The 18,494-nt window shown below is 39.5% G+C and overlaps 1 protein-coding gene across 2 annotated transcripts in view, besides 1 other annotated feature; it reads right to left on the bottom strand.

The window, feature by feature from the left end:
• Positions 1-18,494, bottom strand: part of RAB3C (RAB3C, member RAS oncogene family) — a 277,243-nt gene that overhangs the window by 241,408 nt on the left and 17,341 nt on the right. For both annotated transcript variants that reach the window (NM_001317915.2, NM_138453.4), the window contains exon 2: positions 117-344. In NM_001317915.2, coding sequence (NP_001304844.1) covers positions 117-344 — 228 coding nt within the window. The remainder of the gene's footprint in view (positions 1-116; positions 345-18,494) is intronic.
• Positions 6,961-7,130: an enhancer, noted in NCBI's record as "experimental_86582 CRE fragment used in MPRA reporter constructs". NCBI's record gives its function as "activates a minimal promoter by MPRAs in K562 erythroleukemia cells, with activity observed for both the introgressed and non-introgressed 5:57906769 variant alleles {active_cell/tissue: K562}" and the evidence as "EXISTENCE:reporter gene assay evidence [ECO:0000049][PMID:34662402]".

Genomic DNA, 18,494 nt, shown 5'->3' with positions numbered 1-18,494 from the left:
GGAAATTGAGGCTTGTGGATGCCCTGGGGATAGAACAAGGCAGAAAGTTTCTCCCTTACAAATGGATATGTTCAACACCCCAGCCTGAAGAACACTGCCAGTTCAAAGCCACTTACCCAAATCTGAAGCTTGATTCTCTTTTCATTTTTGAATACAGTTTTTACTTTGAAATCGATCCCAACTGTGCTGACGAATGCAGATGTAAAGGAGTCATCTGCATAACGGAATAGAAAAGATGTTTTCCCCACACTGCTATTGCCGATGATGAGTAATTTGAACATGTAGTCAAAGTTCTGATCAGAGGAGTCTTTCTGGCCGTACCTGGCATCTTGGGCAGAGGCCATCTGTGATAAAAACAAAACAAAACAAAAACAAAATAGGTGTAGATCAGACTCTCATTTGATATGAAGCTAGCAGCATACTCATTATTGGCCTTGCCAGAAACAGATGTCAGACACTCAGGAGGCGAGTGGTGAGTGCTCCCCAGTCTTCCTCTGATATTGGTATCCATGGCAATAATTCCCTGCTGGAAGACAGAATAGCAAATCTTACAGGCCTTTCCAGCTGTGTTGGTGCATGTCACTGCTCAGCATTCAGAACCAATCAAAGACACCAAAGGGGATGTCTATAAGGGTAACATGACAAGCAAAGAGATGAGAAATTGGCCAGGGCATGTGGGCTCTGAAACTTTATAATCCTACTGACAGAGACACCAAAGTGGCTGAACAGCAGGGTATTTCTTCCTGAATTATCTGAATGATTCGAATCTCTCTTATTTCATAGGGAAGCACACCCAAAGCATATCTCTACTTCATTTATTATCATATCAAATCAACATCCTAACATAAAGGGCAGTGTCTTTTAAATTAAAAATAATTATGATGGCAAATATATATAGTTCAAACAATGTGCCGGATACTAACTTATTTAATCCCTCACAGTAACCCAATGAGATGGGTACTTTTAATATTTCCATATTAAAATGAGAAAATTGAGGCCCAGAGATATTATTAAGTAACTTGCTCAACTTCATATAGGTGTTAATAGTAGAGGCAGGATTCAAACAAGCAGTGTGGTGCCAGGGCTCATGTTCTTGACACCTGCCCTACTTCCAAATGACGACTAGGGAGGCATGCGCAAGTGCCCTAGAAGATCATGTCGGAAATATTCATTGTGAAATGCATCAAAGGAGAGCCTGACCTGGGTTCAAAACTTGGCTCCACTCTTTACTGGCTGTGTGACCTTGGTTTGTTATTTTAAATTGGTGTGCTGCAGTTTCCTGCCTTAGATGAAATGGGAAAATATAATATCTAACTTGGAATTCTTGTGAAAATAATAGATGATACAGCTGTAAAGCGATATGTAAAGCATCTAGCATAAAATAGAAAATGGTCTCTACAATCAATTACAAATGCTTTAGGTGGATATTGGCTTTTATTCATCTTTTTTGATGATCATCTTAACATCTATCAAAAATGATATTGCATTACTTCTAAGTACCATTTGGCTCAATATAGAAAAGAGGTATTTAGAATGTTGCATCCCACTGATTAGTACATTTGCTCAGCACAGTTTCTGATGCTATAAATTATTTGGCAATTGTTATTCTGTTTAATATGGTAGCCACTAGTCACATATGGTGATTTAAATTTACATTAACATGAAACAAAATTAGAAATTCAGTTCCTCAATCCTACTAGCCACATTTCAAGTGCAAAATAGCAGCATATGACTAATGGCTACTATACTGGACAGTGCAAATACAGAACATTGGCATAATTGCAGAAAACTCTATTGTACAATGCTAGGCTAGAGAGTCTATTTTCCATTTCCCATAAAAGCTGATTAATAGTTACTTGTTTCTCTTTGGGGTAGGGGGAGGAAAAGGGAGAGGCTCCAAGAGATGGAAAAATGTTAGAAACAGGAAACAGTGCTCAGCCTCATCTAGGACAACACTGGTTACCTGAAGTCAGGGGTGTGTGTGTGTGTGTGTGTGTGTGTCTGTGTGTGTGTACACGTATGTTTACAGAAAACTGAGGAAAAAGGAAAAAGGGAAATGGTGAGATTGTGTATTTCTCTTCTACAAATACTTAATGCCAGCAAGATAACACAATTTTATGTATAAGAATAAGGACAAACAAAAAACCCGTGGGTATTTCATGAAAGTTAAGGATAATAAAGACTCAAATTGCATTTTACATTTTCTTATTAAACATAAGCTTAAGCATTTCTCTTTTTAAGTCTATACAGCCACACAAATATATTTAGAAATTGTGAAAACCTATAACAAACGCTTCCCAGTGGGCAGAGGTCGGCCTCTAAAACAGGCAGATAGCATCACTTTCTTTTTTGGCCCACCAGCCCACATACTAAGGTCAACTTTCCCCAACACATGCCGGCCAAAGGGCAAAAGTAGGATTGCAACTCTTGACCACTAGTTTGAACAATGATCTTTTGCCATGATGATTTCTGGTCCCCCAGAAAGCCAGTTAACTGTTTTATTTGGCAGTGCTATTCCTGCAGACATTGTCCTTTCATCATTTAATGCTCCTCTCCTATATGAGCTGCTAAATTCAAACAGGCCTAAAAATGGCCTTCATTAAGAAGATTATTTTACCTTTTTTCATATGAACCAGACTGGATTTGGGGGTCTGGTAAGAATGTTCAGCTAAGCCACAGCCAGAAAAGAGACACTATATATTTCCTAGAGCTGCTCACTTACTTGGCCTGATAGCTTACTATCTGTTACAGCCCCATAACCCTACGGTGGCATTCAAACTGAGGCCCGAGGATCTCTAGGATACCTCAAAAGTTGTAATGAAGACTGCTGCTATCAACTTCAGGTCCCATTCCAAAATTAAGTTGGTTTCAAAACCTGAAGAAACATAATTGTCCCTCGGTATCTATAGGGGTTGATTCCAGTACCTCCCATGGACACCACAATCTGCAGATGGCTCAAGTACTTGATATAAAATGGTGTGGTATTCACATATGACTTATGCATATTCTCCTGTACAGTTTAAATTATGTACAGATTATTTATAATACCTAACACAATGTAAATGCTATGTAAACAGTGGTTATTATTCTGTATTATTTAGGAAATGATAACAAGAAAAAAAGTCTATACATGTTCAGTACACATGAAATTTTTTCCCAAATATTTTATATCTGCAATTAGTTCACTCCACACACGGGAGCTCATGTATATGAAGGGTGAACTATATAGATATCACTAATATATAGTCTTTTGGAATATGACTGTATGCATTTAGGTGAAGACAAGCACAACTGGGACAGCAACATCTTTAATTTCAAGGGCTAATATACCTTGTTGTGGTAGCAGCAAAGAAGGTAATGGGGGCAAAAGAGGGGGTCTAGGAGGGACACAGAGCTGGTGGACATGTGCACCCAGCAAAATTCTTCTCAGGAAGAGCCTCTAAAGAATTAATTAGGAAAAGTTATTAACTCACTTACTCTTGAAGACTGTTCATGGGTTTTTTTTTGTACTATTTCCTAATTTAACACACCTAATAAGATTCCACAAAGAGCCAAAAAGATATGCATTTGGAATGTATGTGTGTTTTTGTATAACTTCAGAATAATGAAATAAATCCTAGCTCAGAGGATGAAGAAAGAAACAGCCCTAATCTTGCTGAGACCACAAGTGAAGCAATTTGACAGCATACGAATGTCAAAGAGGTTTACAGACAGGCACTATGTAAGTTTACTGATATCTCTAAATACTAAAGTCATGTGAACATTCTCAAAATTTTCATGGGGAAACATAGCTGAAATTTGAAAATAGGAACAGTCAAGGGGAACATCAAATTTCATAAAAGATATACAAAAATAACTCTTCAAATGGCATTAATCTTGAACTTCAAATAACAAATAACCATAGAGTTGGAAAGAATCTTCAAAGGCCGTGCAACTTCCCACCCATCCCATGTCCCTTTCATGGCATCCATCATCTGAGGTTGTTGTCCTAGCTTCATCCTTCACACTGAGCAGCAAGATGTTTACTATGCTGTGAAGAAGCCTTTACAGCATAGAGAGAACTTCAGGTATCTGAAGGAACCCCTCGGGCTCCATAAGCTTTCTCTCCTCCTGCTTGGATGATCCCAACTGATTTAGCCTCTCTTCCACATAGGACGTGTCTGAAAAATTGAACACATCCTGCTAGGTTAAAACTGACACCTCTTCAGATTTTCAAAGTCCCATGTGTGGCTTTCATAATTGGTCACAATATTCTAGATATTTACCTACTTAGTCCAAAGTAGAATGAAACCATTATATCTTATCACACTTGACTTAAAATGCTCATCACTATTTTCACATTAACTGTTATGAACATAGGTTTCTTCTATTCCCATTCTATATTTGACAACTTATTTTTTTATGAAAGTGTCAACCTTTATGTGTATTCTGTTAAATTTCCTCTTGTTTGCTTTGATTTACAATTCAATTGTGATCTGACAATCCCTTCATCAAAAATATTAGTTATCTTTTTCAGATTTGTCATTCCTAAATTTGATCAGTATGTATTTTATGTGTTCATCTAAGGCCCTCATCAAAATGGTAATCACTTTTTAGACAAATAACAATTAACTTTTTAGCCTGTTGAATATATAAATCTACGGGTGAGACCTCAACAGAATGTCATTAAGGAATTCAAAATGTGAAGCAAATTCTTAACCTTTAAAAGTTGGTGTCTTGGAAAGCCACTGTGTTGTTGCTCCAGGTAGGCCTTGGTTCAATAGCAGTGAATAGATCATGGATTTAATTGTTGTGTCATTTTAAATTTTAACTACTGTTTTCCCAGAAGTTCTATTGACCAGGAACCAAATCGGTTACCTCTGATTAAAACATGTAACCACAGCCTCCTTCAGAGTTGTTCACATTTGTTTTTCAAACAACACAGGAAAAAGAAATTACTTACAGGAATTCACTTGGCCACTCACAAATCTAAACTGTACTAAGCCATTCTGTGGATCTGATGAGGAAAAACAAAAATAAGTTGTTTCAAAGTTATTACGTTTCATACTGAATGGGCAAAAGCTGGAAGCATTCCCCTTGAAAACCAGCACAAGACAAGGATGCCCTCTTTCACCACTCCTATTCAACACAGTATTGGAAGTCCTGGTCAGGGCAATCAGGCAAGAGAAAGAAATCAAAGGCATCCAAATAGGAAGACAGGGAGTCAAACTATCCCTGTTTGCAGACTACATGATCCTATATTTAGAAAACCCCGTAGCCTTGGCCCAAAAGCTCCTTAAGCTGATAAACAACTTCAGCAAAGTCTCGTGATACAAAAATATTAATGCGCAAAAATCACTAGTATTCCTAAACACCAATAACAGTCAAGTTGAAAGCTACATCAGGAATACAATTCCATTCACAACTGCCAAATATATATATACATATATATATATATACATATATATATATATATATATATATATACACACACACACACACACACACACACACACACACCTAGGAACACAGCTAACCAGCTAACCAGCTAACCAGGGAACTGAAAGATTTCTACAAAAACAACTACAAAACACTGCTCAAAGAAATCAGAGATGACACAAACAAATGGAAAAATAGTCCTTGCTCATGGATAGGAAGAAGCAATATCATTAAAATGGGTATACTGCCCAAAGCAATTTATAGATTCAATGATATTCCTATTTAACTACCAATGATATTCTTCACAGAACTAGAAAAAAATATTTTAAAATTCATATTGAACCAAAAAAGAGCATGAATAGCCAAGGCAATCTTAAGCAAAAAGAACAAAGCTGGAGGCATCATGCTACCCAACTTCAAACTATACTACAGGGCTATAATAACCAAAACAGCATGATACTGGTACAAAAACAAGACATATAGACCAATGGAACAGAATAGAGAACCCAGAAATAAGACCGCACACCTACAACTGTCTGATCTTCAACAAACCTGACAAAAACAAGCAATGGGGAAAGGACTCCCTATTCAATAAATGGTGCTGGGAGAACGGGCTAGCAGTATGCAGAAGATTGAAACTGGACCCCTTCCTTACACGATATACAAAAACTAACTCAAGATGGATTAAAGGCTTAAATATAAAACACAACTATAAAAACCCTGGAAGACAACCTAGGCAATACCATTATTGACATAGGAGCAGGCAAAGATTTCATGACAAAAGATGCCAAAACCAACTGCAACAAAAGCAAAAATTGGCAAATAGGTTCTAATTAAACTAAAGAGCTTCTGTACAGCAACAGAAACTACCAACAGAGTGAACAGACAACCTACAGAATAGGAAAAATTTTTTGCAAACTATGCCTCTAACAAATGTCTAATATACTGCATCTATGAGGAACTTAAACAAATCTACAAGAGAACAATTAAAAACTCCATTAAAAAGTAGGTAAAGTGCATGAACAGACACTTTTCAAATGCAGACATACATGTGGCCAACAAACACATGAAAAAAAGGTCAACATCACTGATCATTACAGAAATGCAAATCAAAACCACAATGAGATACCATTTCACACCAGTCAGAATGGCTATTACTAAAAAATCAAAAAATAACAGATTCTGGCAAGGCTGCAGAGAAAAAGGAATGCTTATATACTGTCGGTAGGAGTGTAAATTAGTTCAACCATTGTGGAAGACAGTGTGGCAATTCCCCAAAGACCTAAAAACAGAAATGCCATTAGACCCAGCGATCTCACCACTGGGTATATACCCAAAGGACCAGACATTGTTCTATTATAAAGAGACATGCACATATATGTTCATTATCGCCCTATTCACAATAGCAAAGATATGGAATCAACCTAAATGCCCACCAATGGTAGACTGGATAAAGAAAATGTGGCAATCCTATGCAGCCATAAAAATGTCTTTTGCAGGAACATGGGATGGAGCTGGAGGCCATTATTCTTGGCAAACTAACTCAAGAACAGAAAACCAAATACTTCATGTTCTCACTTACGAGTGGTAGCTAAATGATGAGAACACACGGACACATAGAGGGGAACAAAATACACTGGGGCCTATAGAACAGTGAAGGGTGGGGAGGAGGGAGAGGATTAGGAAAAATAACTAAGGGGTACTGGGCTTAATACCTGGATGATGAAATAATCTGTACAACAAACTCCATGACACAAATTTACCTATATACAAACCTGCGCATGTACCCCTAAACTTAAAAGTTAAATAAATAAAGTTACTATGTTCCAGCTACTACTATTGATAATAGTCTAAGTCATTCCCTGCTAAGGTAAAGAATGGAAGGAGGAACTAGGGTAAATTATCCAAAAAAAAATGCAATTATTCTTTGAAATTAGAAGGGTAAAAATAAGGATGGGATATATGTATTGGAAGTGCAGAAACACATAAATTCAAACCTCAATCATTGTCACCTGTGAAAAAAAGAAAAGAAAATGGCAAATTGCAAACAAAAAACATACTCAACATTGTTAATATTAGAAAATGTAAATTAAGACCCCAGTGAGATACCACTGTATACCTATTATAACAGCTACAATTAGAAAAAAAAATTAAAACCTGACAACAATTGCTGGCAAGGATGTGGAGCAACTGGAATGCTCATAAATTGCTGCTGAGACTGTTTAAAATGGCACAGCCTCTCTGACAAACAGTTTAGCAGTTTCTCATGAAGTTAAATTGTATTTACCATATGACCTAACAATCCCACTCCTAGGGATTTGCCCAAGAGAAATAAAAACGTATGTACACACACACACACACACACACACACACAGAAAAACAAAAATCATTTTTTTCTGACAGCTTCAAAGTAAAGGCTAAATTTTTAAAGCCAAGAAAGAAAACATTTCAAGTTAGCATTTCCAAAAGTCTGTCATCTGGACTCCAGGCGATTTCTCCTGGTAAAAGTCCTCATCTGTGCACAGGTTTGCAGGTCTCCACGTTTGTCTCTCAGAATCGATTAGAATTGTGATGTGCTTTGCAATCTCTGGCCAGCAATTTCTCCATGTATCTGCTACTGTTTGCTCTTGCAGGAACCAGTTCACTGCTTACAACTCACCATCAAGCTGAAAGGGCTGCCCAGGGAACAAGAAGTGGCCAAGACGCTGGAAAGTTTAAATCCTAATCCTGGCTTCTGAAGTAAAGGGGCCCGGAAAAGGTCAGATTCAGAAATTTTATTTATCTTTTTTCTTTACCTTAGCAGGGAATGAATAACTATTTTATGGGATTCATAGGAGAATGTATACAATAGTATGCCAAATTATGGTAATGCTTTCAAGATGCAAACCACTATACATTTTAAAGGTATAAAGGCATTCCTCCAGCTAAATTTCACCTTTCTCCTTTCAGCCTTTCTCTGGATGTCCAACTCATGTGTAGCTTCTTTAGTAGAGGTGAATAACCCTCAGCTTATGTATAGGAATATGGCTAAATAATAACAGCAGCACGGGTCTTACATGCTCTATGTGCTTTACATGTATTATCACACCTAATCTTTGCACTATCCCTAGAAGGTGTAACTAGTTCAACCATTAGCATCCCCCTTTTAAAGGAACAGAACCTTCTGGTACATTTCAAAGGCTACTTCCCCCTTTCCCCTGCTGGAAAAATGAGACATTTTTCTCTGATCTTCACTGGAGGACCTGCTAGGGCTCCTGAAGGTAAAATGTAAAAAGTATGAAGGGGCTCCCCAAGACTGGCACCCCCTGGAATTTTTCTCTCTGACTGGTCCACACTGAGCATCCAGCAATGCAATTATAGTTCAGGTTTTTCTTTTCTTTATTATACTTTAAGTTCTAGGTACATGTGCACAACATGCGGGTTTGTTACATAGGTACACATGTGCCATGTTGGTTTGCTGCACCCATTAACACGTCATTTACATTAGGTATTTCTCCTAATGCTATCCCTCCCCCTCCTCCCCACTCCCCAACATGTCCCAGTGTGTGATGTTTCCTGCCCTAAGTCCAAGTGTTCTCATTGTTCAATTCCCACCTAAGAGTGAGAACATGCTGTGTTTGGTTTTCTGTCCTTGTGTGATAGTTTGCTGAGAATGATGGTTTCCAGCTTCATCCATGTCCCTACAAAGGATATGAACTCATCCTTTTTTATGGCTGCATAGTATTCCACGGTGTATATGTGCCACATTTTCTTAATCCAGTCTACCTTTGATGGATATTTGGGTTGGTTCCAAGTCTTTGCTATTGTGAATAGTGCCACAATAAATATACATGTGCATGTGTCTTTATAGTAGCATGATTTATAATCATTTGGGTATATACCCAGTAATGGGATCTCTGAGTCAAATGGTATTTCTAGTTCCAGATCCTTGAGGAACTGCCACACTGTTTTGCACAATGGTTAAATTAATTTACACTCCCATCAACAGTGTAAAAGTGTTCCTATTTCTCCACATCCTCTCCAGCATCTGTTGTTTCCTGACTTTTTAATGATCGCCATTCTAACTAGCATGAGTTAGTATCTCATTGTAGTTTTGATTTGCATTTCTCTGATGGCCAGTGATGATGAGCATTTTTTCATGTGTCTTTTGGCTGCATAAATGTCTTCTTTTGAGAAGTGTCTGTTCATATCCTTTGCCCAATTTTTGATGGGGTTGTTTTTTTCTTGTAAATTTGTTTAAGTTCTTTGTAGATTCTTTGTAGATTCTGGATATTAGCCCTTTGTCAGATGCAACCCCTGCTCTTTTTTTGCTTTCCATTTGCTTGGTAGATCTTCCTCCATCCCTTTATTTTAAGCCTACACATGTCTCTGCACATAAGATGGGTCTCCTGAATACAGTACACTGATGGGTTTGGACTCTTTATCCAATTTGCCAGTCTGTGTCTTTTAATTGGGGTATTTAGCCCATTTACATTTAAGGTTAATATTGTTATGTGTGAATTTGACCCTGTCATTATGATGTTAGCTGGTTATTTTGCCCATTAATTGATGCAGTTTCTTCATAGCATTGATGGTCTTTACAATTTGGGATGTTTTTGCAGTGGCTGGTACCGGTTGTTTCCTTCCATGTTTAGTGCTTCCTTCAGGAGCTCTTGTAAGGCAGGCCTGGTGGTGACAAAATCTCTCAGCATTTGCTTGTCTGTAAAGGATTTGCTTGTCTGTAAAGGATTTTATTTCTCCTTCACTTATGAAGCTTAGTTTGGCTGGATATGAGATTCTGGGATGAAAATTCTTTTCTTTAAGAATGTTGAATATTGGCCCCCACTCTCTTCTCACTTGTAGGGTTTCTGCCGAGAGATCAGCTGTTAGTCTAATGGGCTTCCCTTTGTGGGTAACCCGACCTTTCTCTCTGGCTGCCCTTAACACTTTTTCCTTCATTTCAACCTTGGTGAATCTGACAATTATGTGTCTTGGGGTTGTGATTCTTGAGGAGTATCTTTGTGGTGTTCTCTGTATTTCCTGAATTTGAATGTTGGCCTGCCTTGCTAGGTTGGGGAAGTTCTCCTGGATAATATCCTGAAGAGTGTTTTCCAACTTGGTTCCATTCTCCCCGTCACTTTCAGGTACACTAATCAAACGTAGATTTGGTCTTTTCACATAGTTCTATATTTCTTGGAGGCTTTGTTCATTTCTTTTTACTCTTTTTTCTCTAATCTTGTCTTCTTGCTTTATTTCATTAATTTGATTCTCAATCACTGATATCCTTTCTTCCACTTGATCGAATTGGCTATTGAAGTTTGTGCATACATCACAAAGTTCTCATGCCACAGTTTTCAACTCCATCAAGTCACTTAAGGTCCTTTCTACACTGTTTATTCTAGTTAGCCATTCATCTAACCTTTTTTCAAGGTTTTTACCTTCCTTGTGACAGGTTAGAACATGCTCGTTTAGCTCAGAGATGTTTGTTATTACTGACCTTCTGAAGCCTACTTCTGTCAACTCGTCAGTCATTCTCCATCCAGCTTTGTTCTGTTGCTGGCAAGGAGCTGCGATCTTTTGGAGGAGAAGAGGCGCGCTGGTTTTTGGAATTTTCAGCTTTTCTGCTCTGGTTTCTCCCCATCTGTGGTTTTATCTACCTTTGGTCTCTGATGTTTGTGACCTACAGATGGGGTTTTGGTGTGGATGTCCTTTTTGTTGATGTCGATGCTATTTCTTTCTGTTTGTTAGTTTTCCTTCTAACAGGTCCCTCAGCTGCAGGTCTGTTGGAGTTTGCTGGAGGTCCACTACTCCAGACCGTGTTTGCCTGGGTATTACCAGCAGAGACTGCAGAACAGCAAATATTGCAGAATAGCATATATTGCTGCCTGATCCTTCCTCTGGAAGTTTCATCCCAGAGGAGCACCCACCTGTATGAGGTCTGTCGGACCCTACTGGGAGGTGTCTCCCAGTTAGGCTACATGGGGCTCAGGGACCCACTTGAAGAGGCAGCCTGTCCATTCTCAGAGCTCAAACCCTGTGCTGGGAGAACCACTGCTCTCTTCAGAGCTGTCAGACAGGGACGTTTAAGTCTGCAGAAGTTTCTGCTGCCTTTTGTTCAGCTATGCCCTGCCCACAGAGGGGGAGTCTATAGAGGCAGTAGGCCTTGCTGAGCTGCGGTGGGCTCTGCCCAATTTGTGCTTCTCAGCCACTTTACCTATTCAAGCCTCAGCAATGGTGGATGCCCCTCCCCCATCAGGCTGCCACCTTGCAGGTCAATCTCAGACTGCTGTGCTATCAGTGAGCAAGGCTGCGTTGGTGTGGGACCTGCCAAGCCACACACAGGAGAGAATTTCCTGGTCTGCCTGTTGCTAAGACCGTGGGAGAAGCACAGTATTTGGGCAGAGTGTCCCATTTTTCCAGATACAGTCTGTCATGGCTTCCCTTGGCTAGGAAAGGGAAATCCCTGACCCCTTGTGCTTCCCAGCTGAGGTGATGCCCCACCCTGCTTCAGCTCACCCTCCGTGGGCTGCACCCACTGTCCAACCAGTCCTAATGAGATGAACCAGGTACCTCAGTTGGAAATGCAGAAATCACCCGTCTTCAGTGTCGAACATGCTGGGAGCTGCAGACCAGAGCTGTTCCTATTTGGCCATCTTGGAACGGAAGACCTCTTTTTTATTTTTTGAGATGGAGTTTCACTCTTGTCACCCAGGTTGGAGTGCAATGGCACGATCTTGGCTCACCGCAACCTCTACCTCCCGGGTGTAAGCGAGACTCCTGTCTCAGCCTCCCAAGTAGCAGGGATTACAAGCGCTTGGTGCCCACCAACACATTCGGCTAATTTTTGTATTTTTAGTAGAAACAGGGTTTCACTATGTTGGCCAAGATGATCTTGAACTCCTGACCTCAAGAGATCCTCCTGCCTCGGCCTCCCAAAGTACTAGGATTACAGGTGTGAGCCACCGCGCCCAGCCAGTTCAGGTTTTTCTACTTCAGTGCTAGTTCCCACAGAAGTTTCTGCTCCGTTAAGTTGTGATATTCTTTATCTGCCTGTCTGTCACTCCAATTACAAGGGGCAGTGATTTGCCCTGTGACTTCATTTCTCTGATAGATATAAGAAGAGTTGTTGATTTTTAGTTTGTTCAGCTTTTTTCTAGTGTGAAGATGGAAGTGATGACTTCCAAGCTCCTCACATGCAGAACCAAAATCATCTCCATTTTAAAGATGAAATTAAGGGAATCTGAGAGGAGAGATAATCATGGTGCATGGGAGGCAGGACTAGATTGCACCTGTACAGAGCAGTGTATGGAGGCTTGCACTGTGAATTTTAGCTCCAGATTGACCGCAAGAAAAAAACAGCAATTCTGAGAGGACCCACAGACCCTCTGATGGAAGCAGACTGCTCCTGCAGGACCCAGGAGACACCCCAAATACTGTGAGTGCCCCAACTGTAGAAGTGAGAAAGGGAGGCCCTCCTCTCCCAAACACACCCCACTGGAGAAGTTGAAGGTTTGCTTGTGGGAGAAGTTTCAGACTTTACCTGGAGCTGAGTTAAATTAGAGAGCCAAGCCAAGAGAAATATAGGGGTAGAGGAAGCAGCAGAAAGGCCCTGCGAGCTCTCTGGGTCCCCAAGCAGCCCATTCCTGCCTGGCACCACAGGGATCCATCTGGACGGTGGCCAGAGGAGCAGCGGTTAAAACTCCACAGGGAGAAGGAATTCTCTAGGTGAACTTTGTAACAATTTTAATAGGGCAAAAATCTTCCTGGCCAGAACTCAGGGAAGAGCACAAATCTGAATCCAGCTTGCAGACTTCACAGGCTGGGGAAGAACTAAAGCCTTTTTCTTTCACAGCTGGGAGGCAGACAGCCTCGGGCAAGTTTTCAAGCCCATCTTGCCCTCCACCTGGAAACAGAATTGGGGCTGTTGTTGGGGTCACAGTGTGAGTGAGACCAGCCCTTCAGTTTGCACAGGAGCTGGGTGAGGCCTGTGACTACCGGCTTTCCCCTACTTTCCTGACAACCTCCATGACTCAGCAGAGGCAGCCATAATACTTCCACAACTCCAGTGTCCTGGAAATCTCACCCCCATGCCCCACAGCAGCTGAAGCAAGACCCACTCAAAGAGAGTCTGAGCTCAGACAGGCCTAGTCCCACTCCCCATAGTCCTTCCCTACCTACCCACCTTTCTGGTAGTGGAAGACAAAGGGCATATAATCTTGGGAGGTCTAAGGCCCCGCCTACCGCCGGTCCCTCTCCACACTACTACAGCTGATGCTTTCTGCAAAGTGCCACCTCCTGGCAGAAGGCCAACCAGGACAAAAATAGAGCATTAAACCACCAAAGCTAAGGACCTTCACAGAATCCACTGTACCCTCTGCCACCTCCAGTGGAATAGGCACTGATATCCACACCTGAGAGACCCACAGATGGTTCACATCACAGGACTCTGTGCAGACAACCTCCAGTACCAGGCTGGAGCCAGGTAGACTGGCTGGGTGGCTAGACCCAGAAGACAGACAACAATCACTGCAGTTTGGCTCACAGGAAGCCACATCCACAGGAAAAGGGGGAGAGTACTACATGAAGAGAATACCTTGTGGGACAAAAAAGAAATCTGAACAACAGCCTTCAGCCCTAGACCTTCCCTCTGACAGAGCCTACCCAAATGAGAAGGAACCAGAAAACCAACCCTCATAATATGACAAAACAAGGCTCTTCAACACCCCTAAAAATCACACTAGTTCACCAGCAATGAATCCAAACCAAGAAGAAATCCCTGATTTGCCTGAAAAAGAATTAAGGCAGTTAGTTATTAAGCTAATCAGGGAGGGACCAGAGAAAGCTGAAACCCAATGTAAGGAAATCCAAAAAATGATACAAGAAGTGAAGGGAGAAATATTCAAGGAAATAGCTTAAATAAAAAACAATCAAAAATTCAGGAAGCTTTGGACACACCTTTAGAAATGTGAAATGCTCAGGAAAATCTCAGCAATAGAATTGAACAAGTAGAAAAAAGAAATTCAGAGCTTGAAGACAAGGTCTTTGAATTAACCCAATCCAACAAAGACAAAAAAGAATAAGAAAATATGAACAAAGCCCCCAAGGGGTCTGGGATTATGTTAAATGACCAAACCTTAGAATAATCAGTGTTCCTGAAGAAGACAATTCTAAAAGCTTGGAAAACATATTTGGGGGAATAATTGAGGAAAACTTCCCCAGCCTTGCTAGAGATCTAGACATTCAAATACAAGAAGCGCAAGGAACACCTGGGAAATGTATCACAAAAAGATCTTCACCTAGGCACATTGTCATCAGGTTATTCAAAGTTAAGACAAAGGAAAGAATCTTAAGAGCTGTGAGACAGAAGCACCAGGTAACCTATAAAGGAAAACCTATCAGATTAACAGCAGATTTCTCAGAAGAAACCCTACGAGCTAGAAGGGATTGGGGCCATATCTTCAGCTTCCTCAAACAAAACGATTATCAGCCAAGAATTCTGTATGCAGCGAAACTAAGCATCATATATGAAGGAAAGATACAGTCATATTCAGACAAGCAAATGCTGAGAGAATTCACCGTTACCAAGCCATCACTACAAGAACTGCTAAAAGGAGCTCTAAACCTTGAAACAAATCCTGGAAACACATCAAAACAGAACCTTATTAAAGCATAAATCACACAGGACCTATAAAACAAAAATACCATTGCATGATGAATACAATGGTACCTCATATTTCAATACTAACATTGAATGTAAATGGCCTTAATGCTCCACTTAATAAAAGATACAGAATCGCAGAATGGATAAAAACTCACCAACCAACTATCTCCTGCCTTTAGGAGACTCCCCTAAAACATAAGGACTCACATAAACTTAAAGGGCTGGAAAAAGGCATTTCATGCAAATGAACACCAAAAGTGAGCAGGGATAGCTATTTGTATATCAGACAAAACAAACTTTAAAGCAACAGTGGTTAAAAGAGACAAAGAGGGACATTATATAATGGTAAAAGGCCTTATCCAACAGGAAAATATCACAATCCTAAACATATGCACCTAATGCTCCCAAATTTATAAAACAATTATTAGCAGACCTAAGAAATGAGATAGATAGCAACACAGTACTAGTGGGGGACATCAATACTCCACTGACAGCACTAGACAGGTCATCAAGACAGAAAATCAAAAAAGAAACAATGGATTTAAACTATACCTTGGAACAAATGGACTTAACAGATATATATAGAACATTTCATCCAACAACTGCAGAATACACATTCTATTCAACAGCACATGGAACTTTCTCCAAGATAGACCATATGATAGGTCATAAAAGAAACCTCAAAAAATTTAAGAAAATTAAAATTATATCAAGCATTCTCTTAGACCACAGTGGAATAAAACTGGAAATCAATTCCAAAAGGAACCTTCAAAACCACGCAAATACATGGAAGTTAAATGACCTGCTCCTGAATGAACACTGGGTCAAAAAAAAATCAGGATGGAAATTTAAAAATTCTTTGAACTGAATGACAATAATGACACAACCTATCAAAACCTCTGGGATACAGCTAAGGCAGTACTAAGAGGAAAGTTCATAGCCTTAAACACCCACATCAGAAAGTCTGAAGAGCACAAACAGACAGTCTAAGGTTGCACCTCAAGTAACTAGAACAAGAAAAAAACAAACACAAAAGCAGCATAAGGAAGGAAATAACCAAGATCAGAGCAGAACTAAATGAAATTGAAAGAAACAAACAAACAAAAAATACAAAAGATAAATGAAACAAAAAGCTGGTTCTTTGAAAAGATAAATAAAATTGATAGACCATTAGCAAGATTAACCAAGAAAAAAAGAGAGAAAATCCAAATAATCTCACTAAGAAACTAAACAGGTGATATTACAGCTGACACCACTGAAATACAAAAGATCAGTCAAGGCTCTATGAACACCTTTATGCACGTAAACTGGAAAACTTAGAAGAGATGGATAAATTCCTGGAAAAAATACAACCCTCCTAGCTTAAATCAGGAAGAATCAGATACCCTGAACAGACCAAAAACAAGCAGTGAGATTGAAATGGTAATTAAAAAATTACCAACATAAAAAAGTCCAGGAACAGACAGATTCACAGCAGAATTCTACCAGACATTCAAAGAAGAATTGGTACCAATCCTTTTGATACTATTCCACAAGATAGAGAAAGAAGGAACCCTCCCTACTTCATTCTATGAAGCCAGCATCACCTTAATACCAAAATCAGGAAAGGACACAACCAATAAAGAAAACTACAGACTGATATCCCTGAAGAACACAGATGCTAAAATCCTTAACAGAATACTAGCTAACCGAATCCAACAACATATTAAAAAGATAATCCACCATGATCAAGAGGGTTTCATACCAGATATGCAGGGACAGTTTAACATACATAAGTCAATAAATGTGATACACCAGATAACAGAATTAAAAACAAAAATCACATGATGGTCTCAATAGATGAAGGAAAAGCATTCAACAAAATCCAGCATCCCTTTATAATTAAAACTTTCAGCAAAATTGGCATACAAGGGACATCCCTCAATGTAATAAAAGCCATCTGTGACAAACCCACAGCCAACATAACACTGAATGGGGAAAAGTTGAAAGCATTCCCTCTGAGAACTGGAACAAGACAAGGATGCCCACTCTCACCACTCCTCTTCAACATCGTATTGAAAGTCTGATCCCAAAGTAATCAGACGAGAAAGAAATAAAGGGCATCCAGATCAGGAAAGAGGAAGTGAAACTGTCACTGTTTGCTGATGATAAGATAGTTTACCTTGAAAACCCTAAAGACTCCTCCAGAAAGCTCCTAGAACTGATAAAAGAATTCAGCAAAGTTTCCAGATAAAAGATTAATGTACACAAATCAGTACCTCTTCTATACACCAACAGCAACTAAGCAGAGAGTCAAATCAAAAACTCAATTCCTTTCACATTAGCTGCAAAAATAAATAAATAAAAATACTTAGGAATATACCTAACCGAGGAGGCAAAAGACCTCTACAGGGAAAACTACAAAACATTACTGAAAGAAATCATAGATGACACAAACAAATGGAAACACATCCCATGCTCATGTATGGGTAGAATCAATATTGTGAAAATGACCATACTGCCAAAAGCAATCTGCAAATCCAATGCAATCCCCATAAAAATATCACCATTATTCTTCACAGAATTAGAAAAAAAAATTCTAAAATTCATATGAAACCAAAAAGAGCCTGCATAGCCAAAGCAAGATTAAGCAAAAAGAACAAATCTGGAGGCATCATACTACCTGATTTCAAACTAAACTATAAGGCCATAGTCACCAAAACATCATGGTACTGATATAAAAATAGATCCGTAGACCAATGGAACAGAATAGAGAACCCAGAAATAAACGCAAATACTTACAGCCAACTGATTTTCGACAAAGCAAACAAAAACATAAAGTCCCCCTTTTTCAACAACTGGTGCTGGGATAATTGGCTAGCCACATGTAGGAGAATGAAACTGGATCCTCATCTTTCACCTTAAACAAAAATCAACTGAAGATGGATTAAGGACTTAAACCTAAGACGTGAAACTATAAAAATGTAGAAGATAACATTGGAAAAACCCTTCTAGACATTGGCTTAGGCAAGGATTTCATGACCAAGAACCCAAAAGCAAATGCAGTAAAAACAAAGATAAACAGCTGGGACCTAATTAAACTAAAGAGCTTTTGCACATCAAAAGGAACAGTCAGCAGAGTAAACAGACAATCCACAGAGTGGGAGAAAATCTTCACAATCTATACATCTGACAAAGGACTAATATTCAGAATCTACACAAAACTGAACTTAAAGTATAATAAAAAAGAAAAAAAAAAGAAAAAGGAGATGAATTTTATCAAACCATGTGAAAACTGTTCCTACTAGTATCAAAGGCCAGTGTTCTTCTCTCAGCCCATAGTATGTAGTTTACTTCCAGTTTGGTTCCAGCGGTTTCCCAGAGTGGAGATAGCCCACACTGAGTCTTGGCAGCAGCAGAGTAAAGGAGAACCCCAGAACACAGAGAGAGGATTGTA

The sequence above is a fragment of the Homo sapiens genome, chromosome 5, assembly GCF_000001405.40.
Source record: "Homo sapiens chromosome 5, GRCh38.p14 Primary Assembly".
Classification (NCBI taxonomy): Eukaryota; Metazoa; Chordata; class Mammalia; order Primates; family Hominidae; genus Homo; species Homo sapiens.
Note: the sequence above shows the minus strand (reverse complement) of the source record. Positions and strands in the feature narration are given on the sequence as shown.